The 26,081-nt window shown below is 49.8% G+C and overlaps 1 protein-coding gene across 10 annotated transcripts in view; it reads right to left on the bottom strand.

The window, feature by feature from the left end:
* Window positions 1-26,081, bottom strand: part of DNAH2 (dynein axonemal heavy chain 2) — a 115,999-nt gene that overhangs the window by 20,942 nt on the left and 68,976 nt on the right. For 9 of the 10 annotated variants that reach the window (NM_020877.5, XM_047435424.1, XM_011523667.3 and 6 more), the window contains 22 exons: window positions 25,768-25,904; window positions 24,804-24,941; window positions 24,557-24,715; window positions 20,732-20,884; window positions 20,458-20,549; window positions 19,946-20,144; window positions 19,596-19,820; window positions 18,443-18,547; window positions 16,149-16,337; window positions 15,540-15,625; window positions 15,271-15,401; window positions 14,972-15,121; window positions 14,477-14,644; window positions 14,083-14,243; window positions 13,559-13,698; window positions 11,091-11,223; window positions 10,784-10,923; window positions 8,335-8,545; window positions 7,727-7,843; window positions 7,408-7,549; window positions 5,482-5,651; window positions 5,215-5,331 (listed from right to left, as the gene is read on the bottom strand). In NM_020877.5, coding sequence (NP_065928.2) covers window positions 5,215-5,331; window positions 5,482-5,651; window positions 7,408-7,549; window positions 7,727-7,843; window positions 8,335-8,545; window positions 10,784-10,923; window positions 11,091-11,223; window positions 13,559-13,698; window positions 14,083-14,243; window positions 14,477-14,644; window positions 14,972-15,121; window positions 15,271-15,401; window positions 15,540-15,625; window positions 16,149-16,337; window positions 18,443-18,547; window positions 19,596-19,820; window positions 19,946-20,144; window positions 20,458-20,549; window positions 20,732-20,884; window positions 24,557-24,715; window positions 24,804-24,941; window positions 25,768-25,904 — 3,263 coding nt within the window. The remainder of the gene's footprint in view (window positions 1-5,214; window positions 5,332-5,481; window positions 5,652-7,407; window positions 7,550-7,726; window positions 7,844-8,334; window positions 8,546-10,783; window positions 10,924-11,090; window positions 11,224-13,558; window positions 13,699-14,082; window positions 14,244-14,476; window positions 14,645-14,971; window positions 15,122-15,270; window positions 15,402-15,539; window positions 15,626-16,148; window positions 16,338-18,442; window positions 18,548-19,595; window positions 19,821-19,945; window positions 20,145-20,457; window positions 20,550-20,731; window positions 20,885-24,556; window positions 24,716-24,803; window positions 24,942-25,767; window positions 25,905-26,081) is intronic. The other variant, XM_047435425.1, reaches the window with a different exon arrangement.

The following is a 26,081-nucleotide window of genomic DNA, read 5'->3' as shown; positions in this document are numbered from 1 at the left end:
CAGCTTTTTTTTTTTTTTTTTTTTTTTTTTTTTGGTATTTTTAGTAGAGACAGGGTTTCACCATGTTGGCCAGGCTGGTCTCAAACTCCTGACCTTGGGTGATCCGCACACCTCGGCCTCCCAGAGTGCTGGGATTCCAGGCGTGAGCCACCGCACCTGGCTTTATTTTTATCTTTATTTTTTGAGGCAGGATTTTGCTCTGTTGCCCAGGCTGGAGGACAGTGGCATAATCATAGCTCACTGCACCCTCAACCTTCTGGGCTCAAGTGATCCTCCCACCTCAGCCTTCCAAGTAGCTGGAACTACAGGTGTGCGCCACTGTGTCTGGCTGATTTTTTTATATTTTGTGGACACAAAGTCTCTCTATGTTGCCCAGGCTGATCTCCAACTTCTAGGCTCAAGCAATCCCCCGGCCCCTGCCTCCCAAAGAGCTAGGATCACAGGCATGAGCCACCAAGCCCAGCCTGAATGGTGCACTTCAAAATGGTTATAATGATATATTTTATATGTATTTTACCACGATCAACCCCCTAAGAAAAGAATGTATACATATGTGTGGATTTATAACCCCCGATCCAGTAAATGCTTATTGGTTAGATTGTATCTCTTATATTAATCTATTGCTAAAGATTTCTCCTAGTTAAATTTAAGTGCACAAGTCATGGTTCCAGATAACTGACATTTTGGTAAAGCTAAAACCAAGATTTTCTCTGTGTATCCTCATTACCTCAAATGCTATTGGGTTTCTTCTACGGTCTTTGGCAATGGTAATAACCAGTTTTTTGGCAACGTAATTTTATCTGCAAGTTGTGTATGCCTTATTAAGACCCTTGAGTTCTATTTTAATCTCAAATAATGCTCACGAGAGACTTCATTCTGAACTTAATACAGCCTCTGAGGTCCTGAGGAACAACATCCTTTTCCAGGGAGAAACAGCCCAGGTTAAGAAAACTGATCTACCCAGAGAACCCCCACCCTGCTACGGTCCAAATGTCATGTCTCACTCAAATTCATTTTCAAACTTAATCTCCAGTGGAGTGGTGTTGGGAGGTGGGGCATCTGGGAGGTGATTAGGTCACGGGGGTAGGGCCCTCAGGAATGGGATTAGTGCCCTAGTAAAAGAAGCCCAAGAAAGCTTGTTTGTCCCTTCTGTTATGTGAAGACACACATAAGCGTCATCCATGAGGAACTGACCCTACCAGACATTGAATGTACTTGCACCTTGATTTTAGACTTTCCAGCCTTCGGAACTGTAAGATATCAATTTCTGTTATTTATAAATTACCCAGTATTTTGTTATAGGAGCCCAAATGAACTGAGATAACCCCTCAGCTGAGATGGAGCAGAACAGGAAGTTGGGGAGGATGACTTGGGGACTTTAACTTCAGAAGGTTGAAGTCTAGATTTTTAACTCACAAAGGCAAGATTAGTTGATGTCGAATTTCCATTTCTTTGGACTTTAGTTTGCAAAGGGATTTATTTAATCTTTGAAATTTAATTTCTCCCTAGGGGTTATATTCAAATTTGTGGAATTTCTGTATATTGTTATTATTGGAGCGTTTTAATGCTGTCATTTAATTGAACTAAATGGCCTCTGATATGTTATGTTGGACAATGTGACTAGACATAATTTGGAATGCAAAATGGGAAAAAAATCTGAATGTTCAACCTTAGGGATATAGTTGCCCTAAAGTAGATTAAGACATAATTTGGAATGCAAAATGGGAAAAAATGGGAATGTTCAGACTTGGGGATACAGTCGCCTTAAAGTATATTAAGATTCTGTTCTGACCCATTTCAGAGCCTTCTGGGGCCCTATCTACGCCACTGGTTTGTAACCCTTGTTGTATATCAGAACTAGCTGACAAGTGAGTAATGGCTAAAGCTATTTACTCAAAATTTGTTCTGATCTGCAATGTAGTTGGGCTCTGAGCCTCTTTTCAGACCTGAGCCTCAGTACCATGCATAAGCTTTCCCATCTCTGGTAGGTTCTGACAGGAAAGCTTTTAAAATGCTGATTCTTAGGCTCTGCCAGGGATTCTTACTTAATTGGCCTGGCAGGGCCCAGGGCACAGTGCCTAGTTGTGAAGTTGTATTAAAAGGTACATTTGGGGGCAGGCGCGGTGGCTCACACCTGTAATCCCAGCACTTTGGGAGGCCGAGACGGGCAGATCACTTGAGGTAAGAAGTTCAAGACCAGCCTGGCCAACGTGGTGAAACCCCATCTCTACTAAAAATACAAAAATTAGCCGGGCGTGGTGGCAGACGCCTGTAATCCCAGCTACTCGGGAGGCTGAGGCAGGAGAATCACTTGAATCTGGGAGGCAGAAGTTACAGCGAGCTGGGATCGCACCACCGTGCTCCAGCCTGGGTGATAGAGCGAGACTCTCTCTCAAAAACAAAACGAAACAAAACAAAACAAAAAGGGTATATTTGGGCCAGGTGGGGTGGCTCACCCTTGTAATCCTAGCAACTTGGGAGGCCAAGGCAGGAGGATCACTTGAGCCCACGAGTTCAAGACCAGACTGGGCAACATGGTGAAACCCCGTCTCTACAAAAAATATAAAAAATTAGCCAGGAATAGTGGAGTGTGCCTGTAGGCCCAGCTACTCAGGAGGCTTGGGTGGGAGGATCACCAGAGCCCAGGAAGTCAAGGCTGCAGTGAGTCGTGATTGCGCCACTGCATTCCAGTCTGGGCGACAGAGTGAGATCCTGTCTCAAAAAAAAAAAAAAGAAAAAAAAGAAAGAAAAGAAAGAAGAAAAGGAAGGAAGGAAGGAAGGGAGGGAGGGAAGGAAGGAAAGGAAGGTACATTTCGGGGCACGGTGGCTCACACCTGTAATCCCAACAACTTGTAAGACTGAGATGGGAATTCAAGACCAAGACCAGCCTGGGCAACACAGCAAGACCCCATCTCTAAAAATAAACACATAAATGCTGCTGCTGCTTTTTTTTTTTTTTTAAGGTGCATTTGGCTCATAAACGTCACAGGCTTTGTCCGTAAAAAAGGAGAAATGTTTGTTCCCTGTCTGCTTTCTCTTTTCACTTAGGGGTTCTCAAGTGTGGGTGTGGACCCTCCACCAAAATACCTAACACTGGGTGCACTATAAATGCTTGTTTGATGAATGATGTTGTTGGCAGTGCACCCCAGAGGTCCCATTTTTCACATATGAGGAACCACTCCTAATTATTTAGCCCAGGATATGATTCATCTAGGTGAAAACCCTTTCCAAACAGATTGCCACACCTGTGATTCTTCGCTCTTGGGAAAAGACAGAGTAAAAGAGCAAAGTTTTGTGAGAGGTTGGGAGGTGGCGGTGGTAGCAGGGACGGAGCCGTGGAGGAGCAGGTGCAGAGGTGCAGAGAGAAGCCCCGTTCACCCAACCTGGGTGAGTTCCCTGCACAGAAGAGGCCTCGTGGGCAGCTTAGCTTTTGACAGTAAAGATGCCTACAGCAGGAAAAAAACGGGGATGAGCTGTGGGCAGAGAGGCGTGAAGTCAGGAAACACAGGATCTAGCCCAGCTCTGACGGTGACGAGCCAGTGAGCCCTTGATCTCCCTAGCCTCAGGCTCCTCATCTGATCTGTGGAGGTCGAACCTGGATGTTTTCCAAAGTTGGTTTTAGGTAAAACAGTTTGAAATTGTATGGCCAGCTTCAATTATATAAATATTTTAAATTTCTATATGAAGATAGCACCAACAAAGTTACAGGGCAAGCAAAGATCCAAAGATTGGAAACAGTGTCTCCCTCAAATGGGGAACAGTTAAATAAATGATGGTGTCCCTGTAGCTACCCACTGGAATATCATGCAGTGGTAAAAAGAAAGCAGAGGCTCTTTACATACTGATAAGGAACAATCTTCAACTCACAGGTAAATAAGATAGTAAGGTGCAGGCTGGGGGCAGTGGCTCATGCCTGTAATCCCAGCACTTTGAGAGGCTGAGGCTGGCAGATCACCTGAGGTCAGGAGTTTGAGACCAGCCTGGCCAACATGGCAAAACCCCGTCTCTACTAAAAATACAAAAATCAGCCGGGCGTGGTGGCGGGCACCTGTAGTCCCAGCTACTCAGGAGGCTGAGGCAGGAGAATCTCTTGAACCCAGGAGGTGGAGGTTGCAGTGAGCTGAGATTGCGCCACTGCACTCCAGCCTGGGTGACAGTAATATCGGCTGCTTTCAGAGAGGAAAGCTGGTGACTAGAGAACAGAAGGTGGGCGAGGGGAAACTTCTTATTGGATACTCCTTTGTACCTTTCACACTTCAAACCATGTAACTGTATTACCTTGGGGACAGAGTAGTATCACCTATTAAATCAATCATTTAAAAAATCAAATGATAAACTGGAAGAATTTTGAATTTTTTTGATAATGGCACTTGCCCATCATTCTGCCTGGTTCAGGAGTCACTTATGCATGCATCTTTTTTTTTTTTTTTTCTGAGACAGTCTCACTCTGTCGCCAGGCTGCATTGCAGTGGTGTGAACTTGGCTCACTGCAACCTCCACCTCCTGGGTTCAAGCGATTCTCATGCCTCAGCCTCCTGAGTAGCTGGGATTACAGGTGCCTGCCACCATGCCCGGCTAATTTTTGTATTTTTAGTAGAGATAGGGTTTCACCATGTTGGCCAGGCTAGTCTTGAACTCATGACCTCAGGTGGTCCACCTACCTCGGCCTCCCAAAGTGCTGGGATTACAGGCATGAGCCGTGGCGCCCAGCCTCATGCATGCATCTTGCAGGAGATCGCCTGGGTTGCCCAGACTCCTCACGGTAACTAACCCACTTGGCCTCTGGGAGAGCCCGTCCCCACACAACATATGCACAGACACCCTCACGTTGTTCTTGGTCCACAGAAGCGACACAGACACTCTTGACCCATCCCTCTGGCAAAGACCAATTTGCCACGCAGATGTCATCAGTTAATATCTCAGGCGCCATCTCCGAAGGGTGTGACAGAGATTGCCAGCTCCCAAGTCAATCTTTGGAAGGGCTCCTGGGTCGCAGTGCCTTTGAGCCTTTATAACCCTCTGCAATTGACTTAGCTTTCTGAGCCAGAGGCAGCCCAGTCTAAACAGGGCACAGAGTGGGAAGGAGACAGGACTGGAATGGCACAGGACATGGGGAAGGGGGCTAGAATTAGATGGGGGAAAACAAATGCTTAATGAAGCAATCCAGAACTCAGGGAGAGGGACCTCCGTGGAAAGGACAGGCGATCAGCTCACCTCCCGCAGCTTCTCCTGGGCCTCAGCGAGCGCGGCTTGCTTCTCCCGAAGCTGAGCCAAGGCAGCGTTCATTCGGATTCGCTTGGGCTCCACCACCCGATATAGCCGCCCATACAGCTGTGGGGAGACAGTCAGGCTGTGGGAGTCGCCCACCAACCCACCAACCCCCTCACCTCCAGGCATCCCCTCCTTCCACCTGGGTCTGTGCATCCGCACTCCCCCAGGCCTGCCCTCCCTACCGCCCCGCCCCAGCCCTGACGCCTTTACCTCCATGGCCCGCACCCACATGCAGAGGGACTTGGCAGCCAGGGAGACGCGGCCGATGATATCAGGCTGGAAGTCAGGCTGGGCGCAGTAGGCCCCAATCTTCTTCAGAACCTTATCTGAGATATTGTCTTTATCAAAGTTGATCAGTGACTTGATGAAGTTCTGTTCCCCTGTGGGATGAAAATTAGGGGCCTTAGCCAGAGGCTTAATGCCATCCTCCTTGTCCAGCAGTTTCACCTCCACTACTCACGCATAGCCACATTTTTCCTGGGCTCAGTTCCTAAGGCCAAATTATCTGACCTGGCCCCTAGTTCCTCCCTCTGACTTGACTCTGTCTCTGGGCACCTCTCAGTCCCCAAGGTCCTCGACAATCTTCCCAGCTCCTCTCTCATCACTTACCTTGAACACTCAGCCAAGCCACCCTACACTTCACTTTTTTTCTCTCTGCTTTGCACTTTCTTCTAGGGCAGGGATCACCAAACCGAGACTGGCAGGCTGTATTCTACTATGGGAACCCAGAGCAGAGTAAACCACAAGAATGGAACACAGAGTCCCGGTTCCCATTTTCTGATTCTTGTTCCCCTCTGGGGGCCTGAGGGCATTCCTGCCCTTGGATGCAGCAATACATTCTTCTATCTTTTTTTTTTTTTTTTTTTTTTTTGAGATGGAGTGTCGCTCTGTTGCCCAGGCTGGAGTGCAGAGGTGCAATCTCGGCTCACTGCAAGCTCCGCCTCCCAGATTCACACCATTCTCCTGCCTCAGCCTCCCGAGTAGCTGGGACTACAGGTGCCTGCCACCACACCCGGCTAATTTTTTTGTATTTTGTAGTAGAGACAGGGTTTCACCGTGTTAGCCAGGATGGTCTCGATCTCCTGACCTCGTGATCCACCTGCCTCAGCCTCCCAAAGTGCTGGGATTACAGGCGTGAGCCACCGTGCCTGGCCCATTCTTCTATCTTTAGGACAATTTTGGTTAATATACAGATGCTCCCGATAAGCCCATCATACATTGAAAATATGGTAAATCAAAAATGCATTTAATGCATCTAACCTACTGAATGTCATAATTCATCCCAGCCTAACTTAGACGTGCTCAGAGCACTTACATTAAGCCTACAGTTGGGCAAAATCATCTAACACAAAGTCTATTTTATAACAAAGTGTTGAATATCTCATGTAATGTATTGAACACTGTACTGAAAGTGAAAAACAGAATGATTGTATGGGTACCATTGTAAAGACGAAAAATCTTAAGTCAAACCATTGTAAGCTGAATGTCAGTATTAAGATGAGCTGTTTTCTGTTACTTACAACCAAATAATCTTTTTAAAAATTTCATATTTAATAATTATAAAAGCAATCAGAAATGTAGTTTTTTCTTTTTCTCTTTTTAGTGAAAAGAAATAGGTAACTTTGTAAAAAGTCAGAAAATACCAGTAACAACTAAATAATCTTTTTTTTTCTTTGGAGACAGGGTCTGGCTCTGTCTCCCAGGCTGGAGTGCAATGGCGCAATCTCGGCTCACTGCAGCCTCAGCCTTCCAGGTTTAAACGATCCTCCTGCCTCAGCCTCCCAAGTAGCTGGGACTACAGGCATGCACCATCATGCCCAGCTAATTTTTGCATTTTTTTTTGTAGAGATGGGTTTTCGTCATGTTGCCCAGGCTGGTCTCAAACTCCTGGGCTCAAGTGATCTGCCCACCTTGCCCTCCCAAAGCTTGGGTTTACAGGCATGAACCACCACACTCGACCCACAACCAAAGAACCTTAACTGATATTCATGCGGTCTCCTTTCTACTAGGCCCTGTGCTCTTGAGGGTAAGAACAATGCCTCATCCATCCCTATCTTTCTGAGTGTCTGCTGCACAGCCGACGATCAATAAACACTGGGTGAGTGGAAGTCATTGATTTCATTGTCTCTAGCTTACCTAGCTGCCTCTTGGCCTCTGCCCATGTGGGCTCGTTGCCTCGAAGAATCATAACTGCCTGCATCACTATCTCCACTTGGGCTGGGGGCCGTCCATAAGACTTGATCTCTCCTATATCCTTCTTGTTCAGAGACTCCAGGGCCTGGGGGAAAAGGGGATAAAGTGAGGGTAAGACAGGACCTTCTGGAGACAGAACCTAGCTGAGGTGCCACCTCTTCTTCCCACTTCCCCAGAGTCTTTGAGGACAAAGAAGACTGGCCCATTCCCTTCCCCGGGGCCTCGCGTTCCTGGCTCCCATCCTTGCACCCGCCCCTGGTACCCGCATGGCCTCTTCCAGGGCGGGCAGTGCCTCTTCTAGATCTTTCTGGGCATTGTCAGCCAGTGCCTGACACTTGATTTCCTCAACTGCAATCTTTTCACTGTTGGCTGTTACGGCCTAGGGATGAAAAAAGGACAAGGGTTTTTTGTCTTTGCCTTGGGCAAAGGTGGGAGTGACGGTGTTGGTGGAAAAGATGAAAGAGAAAGCTAAAGAATTTTTTTTTTTTTTTGAGATGGAGTCTAGCTCTTTCGCCCAGGCTGGAGTGCAGTGGTGCAATCTCAGTTCACTGCAACCTCCGCCCCCAGGGTTTAAGCGATTCTCCTGCCTCAGCCTCCCGAGTAGCTGGGATTACAGGCACCCGCCACCACGCCCAGCTAATCTTTGTATTTTTAGTAGAGACAGGGTTTCACCATGTTGGCCAAGTTGGTCTCGAACTCCTGACCTCAGGTGATCCTCCTGCCTCAGCCTCCCAAAGTGCTGGGATTACAGGCGTGAGCCACTGCACCCAGTCACTAAAGAAAATTTAAGAAGGGGGGAACATGGGTTCCCTGACGCAGTAGCCGGCACTGGTGGGAGTGGGGCACGGGGGGTGGGCGTGGGCCCTGGACCTTCTGCTGCTCATCTGCCTCCCGCTTCTGCTGCACAATGATGACCAGGTACTCCTCACACTGCTTCTGGAACTCAGCCACCTTCTTCTTGGCATCCTCCAGCTCCAACGACATCACTTGCACCTTTTCCCTAGTTTCGTCGATCTTGAACAAGCCTGTCCGCAGTTTATTGGCTTGGGCCAGCAGCTCCTGCCGTTTTTCTCCCAGCAACCTGGGGGAAAGAATAGGACAGGGTGTGGAGAGGCGGGGCTTCCGGAAAGCGCGGTGTCCTGTAAGGTCCACCTTCCCCGTGTGTCTCGAGTCCGCCTTCCTTTCTGTTGCCACCAACACTACCCCCACCATCCTGGTCGGGATTCTATCACTTCCTGCCTGGGTCATTGCCAACAGCTTCCCAAGGGCTCTTCTTGATTTCAGGCTCTCATTCCTCTGGTTTGTTCTACACACCACTACCAGAATCAGCTTGTTAAACAGTCTCCATCACACCACCTCCCCTACATGAGAATCTTCCTCTGTTTCCCACTGTGGAACAGGCAGGTGGGCTGGCCCAGGGCAGGCAGCCGTCCCTCAGCTCCAGCCTGGTTTTTTTTCCCTATGGGAATGAATGTGGGCCCAGTATTGCAACAATTTATTGCTCTCTCTCTCTCTTTCTTTTTTTGTAGAGATGGCGTCTTGTTATTTTGCCCAGGCTGGTCTCAAACTCCTGACCTCAAGTGATCCTCCCACCTCAGCCTCCCAACGTGCTGGGATTACAGGCATGAGCCACTGCACCTGCCCCACAATTTCTGATTTTTTTTTTTGAGACGGAGTCTCGATCTGTCACCCAGGCTGGAGTGCAATGATGCAATCTCAGCTCACTGCAACCTCCACCTCCCGGGTTCAAATGATTCTCCCGCCTCAGCCTCCCCAGTAGCTGGCATTACAGGCACCCGCCATCATGCCTGGCTAATTTTTGTATTTTTGTAGAGACAGGGTTTCACCATGTTGGCCAGGCTGTTCTTGAACTCCTGACCTCAAGTGATCGGCCCACCTTGGCCTCCCAAAGTGCTGGGATTACAGGCGTGAGTCACCGTGCCCAGCCTTATTTGTATCTTTTAAAATATCCTTTGCAATAAATCAGCAATAGTAGGTGAAGTGTTTCCTGAGTTCTGTGAGCCACTCTAGCAAATTAACTGAACCTGACAAGGGGGTGGTGGGAACCCTTGATTTATAACCGGCCAGGCAGAAACACAGGTAAAACACTGGGCTTTCGGTTAGCATCAGAAGCGGCGGGTGTATTGTGGGACTGAGCCCTCCACCTGTGCGATCTGACTCTAACTCCAGGTAGACCATTTCAGACTTGAGTTATATCATAGGACACCCAGCCAGTGTCCCCTGGAGAACTGCTTGGGTGGGGAAAATCCCCACCACATCTGGTGTCAGAAGTGAAGTACAGCCAGCCTTCCGTATCCACATCCGTGGATTCAACCAACAGAGGATCAAAAATATTTGAAAAAAGTCTGGGCACGGTGGCTCATGCCTGTAATCCCAGCACTTTGGGAGGCCAAGGCCGGAGGATCACCTGAGGTCAGGAGTTCAAGAACAGCCTGGCCAACATGGTGAAACCCTGTCTCTACTAAAAATACAAAAAAAAAAAAAAATAGCTGGGCATGGTGGCGCGTGCCTGTAATCCCAGCTACTAGGTAGGCTGAGGCAGGAGAGTCACTTGAACCCGGGAGGCAGAGGTTGCAGTGAGCCAAGACTGCGCCACTGCACTCCAGCCTGGGCAACAGAGCGAGACTCCGTCTAAAAAAAAAAAAATTGCAAAAAAATTTGCATCTGCACTGAACATGTACAGACTTTTTCTTCTTGTCATTATTCCCTAAACAATACAGTATAACAACTATTTACATAGCATTTACATTGTATTAGGTATTATAACTCATCTAGAGAGGATTCAAAGTATATGGGAGGAACGTGCATAAGTTACATGCAGATACTCCATTCTATATCAGGGACTGGAGCATCTGTGGATTTTGGTATCCGTGGGAGGTCCTGGAACCAATCCCCCACGGATGCTGAGGGACTGTACTGTGTTGAGTGAGAGAGTAGGGAAAACACTTTGCTTTTTCTATCTCATACAGGTAGAAAGTCTAGAAGACATTAAAGGCAGACAGGAAAGGACTGGGTATATTATGGCAATGTTCCAGTTATATTATGGTCAGAAAAAGACAGAGAAACTTCATGCCAGAAAATAAGGGCCAAGAGGGTGTGGAGAGCGGCTGAGGGGGACATAGCCAGAAGGCTCTGGAGACAGCCCCTCCCACGGGAAGCCCCAACTCCCTCTTCCCAACTTCCTGGGCAGAACTGTGGCCTTTGTGTCTCTGCCCTTGCACATCAGCATCATTTCACCCATCGCCCTCAGAAGACACCAGCCTCCCTGGCCCTGCACATCCCCTGCCCCCCTTCATACTTCTTATATCCAGACAGGAGTTCCAGGTATTTGGTGGGTGTGACATAGTTGTGTCTCCGCAGTTCCAACAGCATCTTCTGGGAATACTGAGCTACTGACCAGTGCATAGTGACAAAGATCTGGGCCACCTTCCTGTGGATCTGAGGCCAGTGACACAGGATGAAAAGGCAGATGGAAACGGAAGTGGGAGAGAGGCTGGGAGTGCGATGAGAGGCGGGAAGGAGAGAGGCCGGGGGTGCGATGAGAGATGAGAGGCGGGGGAGAGGGAGGCCAGGGATGCAATGAGAGGTGGGGAGGAGGGGCTCACATTCTCCTGAGTTCCCAGGTCTACTCCTATGAGGCACTTCTCAGCCACCTCGAGCAGGGCCTCTTGGGGCCACTCTGAGAACCAGTTGATGGTTGTGCAGTTCACCAAGGCTGGGTACTGGCGGATCCAGTTCCTGGGAAGGGGTTTGGAGAGGCTGTAAATTCCGTGCACAGACACAGCCTCCAGGTACTGGCTTCCCAACACGCATCCACTCACTTTCTAAGAACCTAAAATGCCCCATCCCCTTGCTCCTGTATCTCCTTGTCCAAATTCTGTTCCTGCAGAGCTAGTTCAGCAGAGCATTTAGAAACAGCTTCTGGCATCAGAAAAACCTGGTTCTACACTTTCGAGGTGTGGATCTCCAGCAAGTATCTAAGCTCTTTGAATGCCAGTTTCCTCGTCTCTAAAATGGGAATAATAATACATGCTGACTAGGATGGTTGGGGGATTCAGTGAGGTGTCACACGTGAAAAGCTCAGCGTAGCGCCTGGCTATGGTAAGTACACCGTGTATCACAAACATTAAAAACAAAATGGTAGGCCGGGCACTGGAGTTTGTGCCTGTAATCCCAGCACTTTGGGAGGCCAAGGCAGGTGGCTTCCTTGAGCCCACGTGTTCGAAACCATCCTAGGCAACATGGCGAAACCCCATCTCTACAAAAAGTACGAAAATTAGCTGGCCGTGGTGGCATGCGCTTGTAGTCCCAGCTACCGGAGAGGCTGAGGCAGGAGGATCACTTGAGCCTGGGAGATGGAGGTTGCAGTGAGCCAACATGGCACCACTGCACTCCAGCCTGGGCAACAGAGCAAGACTCGGTCTCAAAAAAAAATTTTTTTTTTTTTTTGAGACGGAGTCTTTCACTCTCGCCCAGGCTGGAGTGCAGTAGCGCCATCTAGGCTCACTGCAAGCTCCACCTCCCAGGTTCACGCCATTCTCCTGCCTCAGCCTCCCGAGTAGCTGGGACTACAGGTGCCCGCCACCATGCCCATCTAATTTTTTTGTATTTTTAGTAGAGACGGGGTTTCACCGTGTTAGCCAGGATGGTCTCGATCTCCTGACCTTGTGATCCACCTGCCTCGGCCTCCCAAAGTGCTGGGATAACAGGCATGAGCCACCGCGCCCAGACAAAAAAAAATTTTTAAGGTAATCCAAATTGCTTCCCTGCACAAGTTCTCCGCCCTCTTCCTAGTTTCTAATTCCCTTAAAAATCTAGTCATATCAAGAAAATGTGGTATAGACATACAAGATAATATTATTCAGCCTTAAAAAAAGAAGGAAATCCTGACACATGCTACAACATGGATGAACCTTGAGGACAATACGCTAAGTGAAATAAGCAAGTCGCAGATAGACAAATGGTAGCTGGGCGCGGTGGCTCACGCCTGTAATCCCAGCACTTTGGGATGCCAAGGCGGGTGGATCACTTGAGGTCAGGAGTTTGAGATCAGCCAGACCAACATGGTGAAACCCTGTCTCTACTAAAAGTACAAAAATTAGCTGGACATGGTGGCGAGCACCTGTAATCCTAGCTACTGGGAGGCTAAGGCACGAAGATTACTTGAACCTGGGAGGTAGAGGCTGCAGTGAGTCGAGATCACAGCACTGCACTCCAGCCTGGGCAACACAGCGAGACTCCGTCTCAAACAAAAAAAGAAACAAAGACAAGTGCGGCATGGTTCCACCTATGTGAGGCATCTGATGTCAGACTCAAGAGACAGCAGCTGGGGAGGGAATGGGGAGCAATGGTTTCATGGGTATGGAGTACGGCCTCGGGAGCATGAGAAAGCTCTGGAGCTGTTACACAACAGTGTGAGTGTACTTCACACGACTGAGCACTGCACTCAGAAACGATTAAGATGATACATTTTGGGTGTGTGTGTGTGTGTGTATTTTGAGACAGAGTCTCGCTCTGTCACCCAAGCTGGAGTGTAGTGGTGTGATCTCGGCTCACTGCAACCTCTGCCTCCCGGGTTCAAGCGATTCTCCTGCTTCATCCTCCTGAGTAGCTGGGACTACAGGCGCCCCCGCCACCATGCCTGGCTAATTTTTTGTATTTTTAGTAGAGACGGGGTTTCACCATGTTAGCCGGCATGGTCTCGATCTCCTGATCTCGTGATCCACCCACCTAGGCCTCCCAAAGTGTTGGGATTACAGGTGTGAACCACTATGCCCGGCCTGTGTGTGTGTGTTTTTAACCACAATTAGATTTACAATGACAAAACAAAACCAAAAAGCCACCCACCAAAACAAACAAACAAAAATCTAGTTATGCCAAAAAAGGATGGACGACTCCCATGTCCACCAAAGGAACTTCCTGAAATCAGGCACAGCCTAAGGAAAGGAGATGGGTGAGGCGGGCAGAGGAGCCTGCTGTTATTCCTGACACTAATTTCCAGAAGGCACAGGAGGCCACAGCAGGGTGAGGGAGCACACAGAAGGGGCTGAGAGAAGGATGTCACAGAAGTCACCTGAAGGGATCCCCCATGGGGCTGAGGCAGAGCACGATGTGCAGGTTGTTCTGCACGCGTTCAATGAGGTAGGCGAAGAGGCTGTCCGATGACTCAGGCACCTGCTCCACCCGGGCCTGGTCTATGATATGCGACTGGATCTGGACAGAAGCCACCCAGGGTCAGAGGGCTGGCGTGTCCATAGCAGAATCAGCGGGGGCAGCGGGTCAGGTGGGGCTGACGAAGTGTTTCCCAGGCTGGACTTGAACTCCTGGCCTCAAACCATCCTCCCACTTCAGCACCCCCCACCCCCGAGTAGCTGGAACTACAAGCTCAAGCCACTGTGCCTGGCTCTGAAGCGTGGGTTTTAAAGCAGCTCTGCCCAGGGTCCCTGGAGGGGACCTTCCACCTTACAGGGCTGAGGTGGGCAGTGGGGGTGTGGCAGTGGGGGTGTGCCAGTGGCACATTCTGGGAGCTGTGGTCCTTCTGGGGTCAGCTAGGCAGGCCAAAGAACTGACTGGTCAAGGGTGTGGAAGGAATCCTACCTCTTCAAATTCATCAGGCTTGTAGAGATTGGGCACCTCGCCTGAGCTGAGGATGTTGTTGATGTCCTCTAGGAAGGACTCATCAGCTATTTGGGTGTCCACAAAAATGAAGGACGTGGTCTTGAGCTCCACCCCAGCCTGGCGATACAGACGCTTGATATCTGGCCGGGGGAGGGAAGGAGGACAAACTCACTGCAGATTCCCCATCCTGGGCTTGATTCCTTTTCTGAGATTTAGGAACCCTCCCCGCCCCGCAGCATACACGCGACACCATCCTACACCCAACACGGGCCAGACACGTCTGCCCATCTGGCTGCCATCTCTCCTCTCTTGTCACTGCAGGAATGTATGCATCTGATCTTTTATTCCTAGCATTTCAGAAACCCAGCCGTACCATCTCGGAACTCCTGCTTCCGATAATGTTTGGTGACCTCGATCTGGAAGGTGGTGTAGTCGCAGATGGATGAAGCCAGGCGGGCCAGACTCTGGCGTCCGCTGCCCCCGATACCCACCAGGAGCATGTTGCCCCGAGGCTGTCCAATGACCCGCACGATCCGTGTGACTGGGGGTGGGGTGGGTGTGAGGGTAATGAGTTGGCTGAGCAAACTCAGGGGACCTCCAGGCCCTAGGCTAGGGATTGGGGCCCCTGAAACTGAAGCAGAGGAACCAAGAGGTATGAGAAGAAGTTGGTGCCCAAGGCCCAGGAGGCAATTCAACTTTTAACCTCCACCTTCTCTGTTAAACACACACTGCCACAGGGCATCTGGGGCCAGGGAGAAAGGCAGCTTCTGGAACTTGATTTGGGAGACCTGGGAAGGGACCCCTATTTCCTTAGACATACCCCATCACTGAGATGATGGGGAAGGGGATAGGCGTGGCAGGTGCTCACTGTGTTCAATAGCCTCTCGGAAGAGCACTAGCTGCATGGGCACGACAGAGGGTGACAGGTTATACTCATTTAGAGCTGTCTCCATGACTGTCTTCAGCACTGTCAGATCCGTGAGGTCTTCATACACCTTGGGCTCCTTCAGGAAATCCCCTGAGCCATGGGAAGAGGGGATCAGAGTCACAAATGCCTGGTTTGCCTCCCCCCACAGGGCTCCACACTTCAGACCCCATGCCCTGACTCCTTCTAGCCCCGATGTTCTAAGAGTGTCAAGCCCAAGGTCATCACAGCTCCTGGCTCACCAAAGATAGGAGGACGCTTGCTGGGACAGAGATGATGAAATGTGAGGTCAAAGAAGGAGCCGAGCTTGTCGCTTATGATGCCCATGAAGGCTTCTGTGTCTGCCGCATCAACCAGCCGGTCAGAGAAGACTCTGTGGGCAGGGAACTGGGGTGAGATCGGGGAATAAAGAGGAGAATGGCCTGGGGAAGGCAGTGTCAGGCTGGGAACAAAGTAGGGGTGGGAGCAAGGCTGAGGAAGCCTTCGTTTGGCCAGGGCACATGCATGTCACCTGAAACATTCATGGATCCAGAGCCGTGTGATGCTGGACTTGGTATCATGGAAGTCCTTGTTGGCTCTAAGCATGCCCTGGAACACCTGGGAAGAGGACTGACTGTTGGGACCAGGGAGCAAAAAGATTCCCTCCAGAAGTTTTTTTTTTTTTTTTTTTTGGGACAGAGTCTCACTCTGTCTCCAAGGCTGGACTGCAGTGGTGCAATCTCAGCTCACTGCAACCTCTGCCTCCCAGGTTCAAGCAATTCTCCTGCCTCAGCCTCCCATGTAGCTGGGACTACAGGCGCGTGCCACCATGCCCAGCTAATTTTTTTTTTTTTTTTTGTATTTTTAATAGAGACAGGATTTCACCATGTTGGCCAGGCTGGTCTTGAACTCCTAACCTCAGGTGATCTGCCTGCGTTGGCCTCCCAAAGTGCTGGAATTACAGGTGTGAGCCACCGCACTTGGCCCAGAAGTTTTAAAGGTAAGGCCAGGGAGTGTGGCACTTCAGCATGGGGGTGACTTTTGGTGCGCATGCTAGTGAGTGTTAAGGCTTAGTTTGAGAAGAGAAAGCCTCCGCGGAGGCTGGGCCAAGCAGAAGGGGCAAGGTCAGGCCGCGAGTCACCTTGGAGATGTCTCGAAGGTTGAAGAGGTAATGCATCTTGGTGGGCGTGGGCAGGAAGCGCTGTACCACGGTGTTGTACATGTCCAGGGTGGCCTCTGTCACCACGTTCCCAATGGGCTTCACCTCTTCCTCAAAGTCCTGAAGCTTCTGATTGATCATGGTGCCGAATATGCGGATGATCTGGGACTTCTAGAAACAGACCCTGGCTCACTCTCCAGGGCTGCTGGCCTTCTAGCCAGAGGGGAAGCCAATAAAGAGCTTGGCTCATGGGCACAATTTAAGGGGGTGTCAAAAAAAATCCTAGGGCCGGGCACGGTGGCTCATGCCTGTAATCCCAGTACTTTGGGAGGCCAAGGCGGGCAGATCACTTGAGGTCGGGAGTTCGAGACCAGCCTGACCAACATGGAGAAACTCCGTCTTTACTAAAAAATATAAAATTAGCCGGGCGTGGTGGCACATGCCTCTAATCCCAGCTACTTGGGAGGCTGAGGCAGGAGAATCACTTGACCCCAGGAGGCGGAGGTTGCGGTGAGCCAACATCGTGCCACTGCACTCCAGCTTGGGCAATGAGTGAAACTCTGTCTCAAAAAAAAAAAAAAAAAAAAAATCCTAAACTCAGAAATAAGACAACTGACAAATACTATTATATAACACTATATATATATATACTATATATTTATACATATTTATATTTATTTATTTATTTATTTATACTGCAACTTCCGCCTCCCGGGTTCAAGCAATTCTCTGCCTGATCCTCCCAAGTAGCTGGGATTACAGGTGTCCACCACCACGCCCAGCTAATTTTTTGTATTTTTAGTAGAGACAGGGTTTCTCCATGGTGGTCAGGCTGATCTCAAACTCCCAATCTCAGGTGATCCACCTGCTTTGGCCTCCCAAAGTGCTGGGATTACAGGCGAGAGCTACTGCGCCCAGCCTTAACACTATATATATATGTATATAAAATAAATATATATATATAAATATTATATATATATATATTCAAGCTGGTGTCCAATGGTGCAATCATGGTTCACTGCAGGCTCGACCTCCTGGGCTCAAGCAATCCTCCCACCTCAGCCTCTCAAGTAGCTGGGAACACAGGTGTGCACCACCACACCCGGCTAATTTTTGTATTTTTTTGTAGAGACAGGGTTTCCCCGTGTTGCTCAGGCTGATATCAAACTCCTGGGCTCGAGTGATCCACCTGCCTCAGCCTACTAAGGTACTGGGATTACAGCTGGGAGCCACCGTGCCTGGCCAACACAGTATTTAAAAACAAAAATGAATGCAAAATATTCATGAGGAACAAACACAAACATTTAAAATAAAGACCAGATGGGGATTACTGATTTCTCCTTTCCCCTTAGGCTCCAATATGGCTTAGCACTGTACTCTACTGATTTTGTATTTATTCAAAATGGTGGTATTTTGCTCATCATAAATTATTGGCATTAATTTTAATTTTAAAAAATATTGCATTACTACAGACTCGCCAGTACTAGTGGCCAAGCCTCAATACCTTCCCTGTTCCCCTGGGATCCCTTGGCCCCACATACTTCTCCAGTTCTCCTTCCCACTCCATAGGATCAATAAAATGTCATAGACAGGAAAAAAAAAAGTGAGGCCAAGTGTGGTGGGAGGCTGAGGTTGGTGGATCTCTGGAGTCCAGGAGTTTGAGACCAGACTGGGCAACATGACGAAACTCTGTCTCTATTGAAAATACAAGAATTAGCTGGGCGTGGTGGCGGGCGCCTGTAGTCCCAGCTACTCTGGAGGCTGAGGCAGGAGAATCACTTGAACCCGGGAAGTGGAGGTTGCAGTGAGCTGAGATCATGCCACTGCATTCCAGCCTGGGCAACAGAGTGAGACCCTGTCTCAAAAAAAAAAAAAAAAAAAAGGAAGTGTTAACATATTATTTCTCCTGATTACAGAGTCTTTTGGGTGCCCCCTTAAATTCTGCACTGAGACAAGTGACTTGCTGGCCTGGCTCTAATCCTGACACTGCCGTGGGCTTTGTAGGATCTACCTTCCTTAGTCTACTTGGGCTTCACTGTGTTCTCTGCCCATTGGGACTACAAGGCTTCCTTGTCCACAGCCAGGAAGGTACGCTTCCAACCCGTAGCTCTCCTAGCTCAGGAGCCAGCACATGCCCTTACGGATCGTCCCAGCGTCCTGCGTGGAGCTCCACTTGGGGTGCCGCAGCCCCCTGGGATCTGGCCCCTGCTTCTCTGAGACAGACACGTTTCACCTCCTACCCTCCCCTCGTCCTGCAGCCCCCATGAGGTCCTCACTGTGGGGAAGGTCATGTTGATAATGTTGAAGCGACTCCGTAGCCTTGGGGAGATGACAGTCCGTCCACCCCCAGGGGGGCCCATGGCAGCCATCAGGAACATTTCCTAGAGAGCAGCGACAAGGAGGGCAGACAGGCAGGAGGGGAGAGGGCAAGAGAGGCGCCGACACAGGCCAGGTGAAAAGGAGTGGGAGGAAAACAGTGCGAGGAGGGACAAAGGGGAAGAGGAACCGGGATGCAGCGAGTTGAGAGGAACATGGAGTGGTAGGGCAGGGGGAGGGGAAGAGAAGGAAGGGACATGGGAAACTTATTTTAGTACCAGGAATGCATTTGTCTGTATTTCATCCTTATAATCCATGTACCCAAATGAGAAAATACAGGTAAGTAAAAAAACATTTGTGTCTTCTAGACTTTCTCTTTCTTCTTTTTCTCTTTTTCTTCTTTTAAAATTGTACCTATCTATACACGTGTGTGTGTATGTTCTCTCTCAAACACACATGAATATAGCACTAGGCGAGTTTTTGGCCCTGAGTGCCAGATATACACACAAACAACCCCAGGAGCCAGGCCGCGATGGCCGCTGATTAAAGAGAAGCAGCCGGGAGCATGGCTCAGGCCTGTAATGCCAACACTTTGGGAGGCCAAGATGGGAGGATCTCTTGAGCCCAGGAGTTCAAAACCAGCCTGGCCAACATATGGGGACCTTGTGTCCACTAAAAATCATAAAATTAACCCGGCACCCCAGCCTTGGCAACATAGCAAGATGCTGTCTGAAAGAAAGAAAAAAAGAAAGAAAGAAAGAGAAAGAAAGAGAAGAAAGAAAAAGAAAGAAAGAGAAAGAGAAGAAAGAAAGAAAGAAAGAAAGAAAGAAAGAAAGAAAGAAAGAAAGAAAGAAAGAAAGAAAGAAAGAAAAAGAAAGAAAGAAAAAGCAAGCAGGCAAACAATATGCTCAGAATCCCACGAAGGAGCCAGGACTGAGGGAGGATGCCTGGCTCGTGAGTGGGGAGCCGAGAACTGCTGTCATGGAGAAGGACGCTCCTGTGTGGGAAGGAATCCAAGATGACAGGACCATAGCCTGGGGCCCCAGTGGAGTGGGGACTGAGCCTATCCCAGAAGGAGCAGAGGCCTGAAGAACAGACTCTAGCGAGGCTTACTCGAATGTACTTGATGGTCTGCTTCGTACGGTCATACCAGAAGCCATAGTCAATCCAGAGGCGGATCAGCTCCAGGGGTGGCTGGGACCCAAACATGTCCTTAGCGGGCATATTTAGGTCATCCATAAAGGTGATCATGCTTTTGCCCCCGAATGGCACGTAGACACCCTTGGTTCGCTTCTCAACCCTGCTCTCAATGATGCTCTGCACGTTATTGGATGTGGTCTGGTGAAAAGGTACCGAATGAATGTGTGGGTCCCCTGAGAGAAATACGGGCTTAGAGAGGAGGGTCAGGCAGGCACTTGGATCCCAAGGGAGCCGGCAGCCTGGCCCCTGGATCCCCGACACACCTGTGCGGACATGTTGACAACGAGCACCGACCACTGGCTGGAGGGCAGGGACTGCAGAACGCTCTGGGCGATGGAGGTCTTCCCAGTCCCCACGGGACCCACCAGCAGAATGGGATTCTGGTTGGCCACCAAGCTGCTCACCAGGTAGTTGTAGCGAACAGTGTCGACGGTGGGCACCATGATCTTATAGAAGGGGGCGCTAGGGAAGAGCAGGGGCCGGCTCTCAAGGACCAGCCGCCCACTCCTTTCCAACTCCCACTTCCTTTCCCTCTACGTCACCACTGTCTCATCAGCACCCTGCCCTCCTGTGGGGCCTGGGGATCATGTGCTCCCCTCAGAGACCCTGTCCCAAGCCCTCTAGGTCCCGCTTCCTGTCCTCAAGAGGCAGCCCTTCTCTGGGACCCACCTTCTCCTTCCTATTGCTCATTTTTGCTTCTAGGCCCCATCTCTCTTGCCACATCCCCCACCTACCGCTGCCCCATGCCCTCCTCACACCCAGGCCCAGCTCTTACTTTGGAGGGTAGCGCCAACTCTTAGGGAGCTTGTCCTCAAATGATGTCCAACTCCGTATTTTGGGGTCCACAAAATACTCATATACCGTGTCCTAAGGAGGGCATGTAGGTCAGGTTACCAAAGCCTTCCTTGAGCCTTCTCCAGCCCAGAGAACGGGCCCCAGACCACCGGGTGGAAGAAAGAGAGAGGGAAACCCAAGCAGAGCCTGAGATGGGGGATGCCCAGGGGGTCTGGAAAAACAGGGCAAATAGGACAGCCAGGTGTGCGCCCAACCTTATTGGGAAAGGAGCCCTCGATCTCTCGGAGGTAGCTGTCGATCCTCTTCCGGCCCTCCTCATCCACAGAGGCACACACAGACCAGATCATGCTGAACACAAATGTCATCTCTACCATGGTGACATAGTTCTCGCCGTCAGCTGGGTTCACCTGGATGGAGAACGAGAAGAGGAAATAACCCACCTGTAAGAGACCAGGGGTCCATCTGGCAGACTCGTGACACCAGAGTGTGGAAAGCCTGGGTCTTCCTCCTTCCCTGGCTCTATTTGGAAAATCGCACAGTTTTCCAAATGTGGATGTTTATCTACAACCTGCTGAAAGACAGACAAACCTGAAATTTCTTATAGCTCAGCAGTTGCCCTGAGCTTCCTCACTGCTAACTCATGAAGATGCAGCCATCATCTGGCCACAACAGGCCTGCCCTGGAAAAGCAACCAAGGGTGCTCAGGAGACAGGTCCCGGAACATTCATAGTGACTTGTTTGTAATTGCAAAACACTGGAGATGACTGAAATGTTCACCAGTAGAGCAGTGGAAAAATAAAATGTAGTGTTCTATCATGGAATAGTATATAGCAGTTAAAGCAATGAAATGAATCTACGTGTAGTAATACAGAACTCAAAAACATATTGTTAATTTAACGGACATGTTGCAGTATATAGCATGATATAGTTTTAAAAAAAAATACCACATTTTCAGTCAGGCACGGTGGCTCATGCCTGTAATCCCAGCACTTAGGGAGGCAGAGCCGCGTGGATCACCTGAGGTCACGAGTTCGAGACCAGCCTGGCCAACATGGAGAAACCCCATCTCTACTAAAAATACAAAAATTAGCCGGGTGTGGTGGTGCCTGTTAATCCCAGCTACTCAGGAGGCTGAGGCAGGAGAATCGCTTGAACCCAGGAGGTGGAGGTTGCAGTGAGCCGAGATGGCACCGCTGCGCTCCAGCCTGGGCAACAAGAGCAAAACTCCATCTCCAAAAACAAAAAAAAAAACAAAAAACATATTTTCTATGGATACCCATGGTATTATAGGTAAAGGTGTACCTTTAAAAAGGCCTAGGCCAGACATGGTGGCTCATGACTGTAATCCCAGCACTTTGGGAAGCTGAGGTGGGAGTATTGCTTGAGGCCAGGAGTTCAAGACCAGCCTGAATAACATAGTGAAACCTGTCTCAACAACAACAACAACAACAAAGCCAGGCATGGTGGTGTGCATCTGTAATCTCAGCTACTCAGGAGACTGAGGTGGGAGGATCACTTGAGCCCAGAATGTTGAGGCTGCAGTGAGCCCTGATCATGCCATTCCAGCCTTGGTAACAGAGCAAGACCCTGTCTCTTAAAAAAAAAAAAATTAAAAAAGAGGTCTGGAATGACATACACAAACATACTACAGTAGTTACTTGTGTGGAGTGAGGAGCAGATCAGGACTGGGAGGAGAGAGGGGAACAAAAAGGACTTTAGCTTTATATGAAAAATTATTATTTTCAGAAAGGGAACTTGATTCAACAATTATCTGTGTAATTAAAAATTAAAATGTAAAATGTGGCCTGGTGTGGTGGCTCATGCCTCTAGTCCCAGCACTTTGAGAGGCTGAGGCAGGAGGATCACTTGAGTCCAGGAGTTTGAGACCAGCCTGGGCAACACAGTGAGACCCCATCTCTAGAAATAATCAAAAATTAGCTGGGTGTGATGGCGCACGCCTGCGGTCCCAGCTACTCAGGAGACAGGAGAATTGTTTGAGCCCAGGAAGTTGAGGCTGCAGTGAGCCGAGATCACACCACAGCACTCAGCTTGGGCAACAGAGTGAGACCCTATCTCCAAAAAGATAAAATGTAAAATGTACCAACTTAATAATGGAAAGAGCATATTTAGAGCCCATGCTCTCAACCCCCTGCCCAGAGGGCACGTGACAGATATCTTTCTTCTGACTGGGCGCATGGAGCACATGGGGCCATCCCACCTCTCTCAGGCCTCTTGGAGACCACAGACAGCAAACTCGGCATCCTTCAAACCATCCCTGGCAAAGGGATAGTCTGCTTTACTATGCAAAGCAGACACAGGCCCGTGGGTGGAGAGCGCTTGAGGATGGGTTGTGAATTAAGATACCTAGGACCACAGATAATGTGATACACTTGGTGCGTCCAATCCAGAATACCGATCTTGGGTTTAGAGAGTAATCCTCAATCCTGGCCAGGAGTGGTGGCTCACGCCTGTAATCCCAGCACTTTGGGAGGCCGAGGTGGGTGGATCACCTGAGGTCAGGAGTTCAAGACCAGCTTGACCAACAAGGTGAAACCCCATCTCTACTAAAAGTACAAAAAATTAGCTGGGTGTGGTGGCAGGCACCTGTAGTCCCAGCTACTCAGGAGGCTGAGGCAGGAGAATCGCTTGAACCTGCAAGGCGGAGGTTGCGGTGAGCTGAGATCGTGCCACTGCACTCCAGCCTGGGCAAAGGAGTGAGACTCCATCTCAAAAAAAAAAAAAAAGAGTATTCCTCAATCCTATAGGTGGGAAATTATGTTAAGAATCAATTGTCTGCCATTTTCAGTCCAGAATCCTTAGTCTGTGCTCCCAGCCTTTCTCAGCACACAACCCATCTCACCATCCTCATGGTCCAGCCCTCTCCTCAGGGTCTCTGCCACGCTGAAGCGCATCTACACAAAAACACCACCCACCACATCCGGCTACAGACCACCAGCTCGGCCCGCCCTGCCAGGCCTGACTCCTGTGTGTCTGCACTTCTGCAGAGGCCACTCTTGCCCTCTGCTCACCCGGGAAGCCTCCCCTACCCAGCCCGTCCTTCTTGACATCTGTGGGCCATTGATAACTCGTAACTGCCCTCTGCCCACACAGTACCTGGCAAGTCCATCTGCGGTTTTTTGTTTTTGTTTTTGTTTTTTGAGACAGAGTCTTGCTCTGTCTTGCCTAGGCTGGAGTGCAGTGGCACAATCTTGGCTTACTGCAGCCTCTGCCTCCTGGGTTCAAGCGATTGTCCTGTCTCAGCCTCCCAAGTAACTGGGACTACAGGCACGTGCCACCACACCTGGCTAATTTTGTATTTTTAGTAGAGACAGGGTTTCACCATGTTGGCCAGGCTGGTCTCGAACTCCTGACCTCAGGTGATCCACCCACCTCGGCCTCCCAAAGTGCTGGGATTACAGGCGTGAGCCACCGTGCCCAGCCCCATCTACATATTTTTAATTTACATTAACTGTACCAGGAATGACATATGTTCCTACAGATCTTAATTGTTGATGACATATTAATAGTTTAATTACCTAGCAACATCTTTAAAAACAATACAAACCATTTATAGGCAGTGATTTAATCTCAACAGAAGATATCAAATTTTGGTCCTTACTTCTAAACTGAGCACAGTTTTTCTTAAATATAGATTAATCTGAAATGTTTAAAAAGTCCTCTCATCAGAATAGCCTGGGAGCTTCTTCTAGGAGAAATGGTGTCCCAGGGCCTCATCTACGCCAAAACTTATATTTTGAAGGGATGGAGAAGTGAGGAGCGGAATGAGCTATTTTCAGCTCCCAAAGCATGGGTGGGAAATTATAGTGAGATCCCATTGTGTACATATTCAATTCAGAACCCCTAGTCAGACCTTTCAGCTCAATGCACACGTGCACACACACAGACATGCACACACACACCCCTCACTGCCTCCATGGTCGTTGAAGCCTCCCCCTGGAGTCTCTGCTCCACTCAAGCCTGGAGTTCAACCTGTCTCAGACACGCCGTTTCCCAGAAGTTGTTCTGGTGAGGCTGTGAGCACCCCCTGCCCCTGCCCGTGGTCTGTGTCCTCCCCTTACCCCATTCTCTGGCGTGGCCAGGGCAGAGTACAGCTTGCAGAGGGAGGTGATACCGCTGTACTCGGGCAGGGGCACCAGCTCCTTGCAGTTGTCCTTCTTAAAGGCCAGCATCTTGTTGATGAGCTTTTCGAACATGCGTTGAAGGGGCTCCACCTCAGCCTGGAGTTGAATAAGAAGGGGCTCTTCATTCACCCTTGTGTCCTGGAGCCACCCTGGTTACTTTCCCTCTCCTCAGTTCCCTTCATACCTTTGGCCTCTTCTCCAGCCATGACTGAACATAGGGCTTCCAGCCCAGGTCAGCGTAGTCAGTGTAGACCATCCCGCAGCGGGATACAGTGGCCGGAGAGGCCATTGCCAGGTCCTCCACTTCAAACAGGAGAGACACCTAAGGATATACGTTTGTCAGAACTTCATCTTTCTCTGCATCCCCCACCTTCAGGAATAATAAAACACCCGGAACTCGGATGCTACAAGTTCACAAACGATTTGCTTTTTTTTTTTTTTTTTTTAAGACAAAGTCTCACTCCGTCACCCAGGCTGGAGTGCAGTGGCGTGATCTTGGCTGACTGCAACCTCCGCCTCTCAGGTTCAAGCAATCCTCCCACCTCAGCCTCCAGAGTACCTGGGACTACAGGTGCACAACACCACACCCAGCTAACTTTTGTATTTTTTAGTAGAGATGGGGTTTTACCCTGTTGGCCAGGCTGGTCTTGAACTCCTGACCTCAAGTGATCTGCCCACCTTGGCCTCCCAAAGTGCTAGGATTACAGGCGTGAGCCACCCGGCCCGGCCCAGTTTGCTTTAAAAGAAACTAGAGCTTATTCAAGGTTGTCCTTTTGAAAAATCACTCTCTTGCTCGCATTGTTGGAGTGGGTGGAAAAGGGTGTGCTTGCCAGTCCGTGAATTCATACCTCTGGGTGCACAAACGAGGGTCCTGCCTCATGCATCCGTGAGAACGAGCCGAGGAGGGCCGCCCAAGCCTACACAGTGCTTACAACAGAGGGTGTTTTTCTTATCATTGTTCTCAACAGCCGCGGCAAGCAAAGCATTTTTCTTCAGCTGCAGGTTTCCCTGAATCCAGGCATCCACCTTTCAGCTCTCTCCCACAGAACCTGCCCTGCTCTGAGATTTCTGGCTCTCCTCCCCAGCCCCGGCCCACGCCCTCCGGTGCCTGCCTCTGCAGGCCTCCAGGAGTCAGCCGCGTCCCTGACCTGCTCGGGCATCGCGATGCGCTCGCCGTTGATGAGGGTCAACACCTTGTTATCGTCCATGACGGAGTTCATGTTCTCGATCCACAGTGTGTCCACGGGGCCATCGAACAGGATCCACTTCTCGTCGGGTTTCTCATCTGAGTAGATGGTGGGTGATGAGGAAACCGGGGAGCCGCTCACCTTGCACCCTCCGCTCACGCTCCTCGGAGACACAAGCCTACACTCCCTTGTACTTCAGCATTCCCCAGGCATTTCTCTCCCAACTTGGAACTTCCTATCCCCAGACTCCCTGCCCCCTTAGGAGACTCAGGCGT

The sequence above is a fragment of the Homo sapiens genome, chromosome 17 (assembly GCF_000001405.40).
Source record: "Homo sapiens chromosome 17, GRCh38.p14 Primary Assembly".
Classification (NCBI taxonomy): Eukaryota; Metazoa; Chordata; class Mammalia; order Primates; family Hominidae; genus Homo; species Homo sapiens.
The sequence above is the reverse complement of the archived record's forward strand: the minus strand, read 5'-3'. Positions and strand labels throughout refer to the sequence as shown.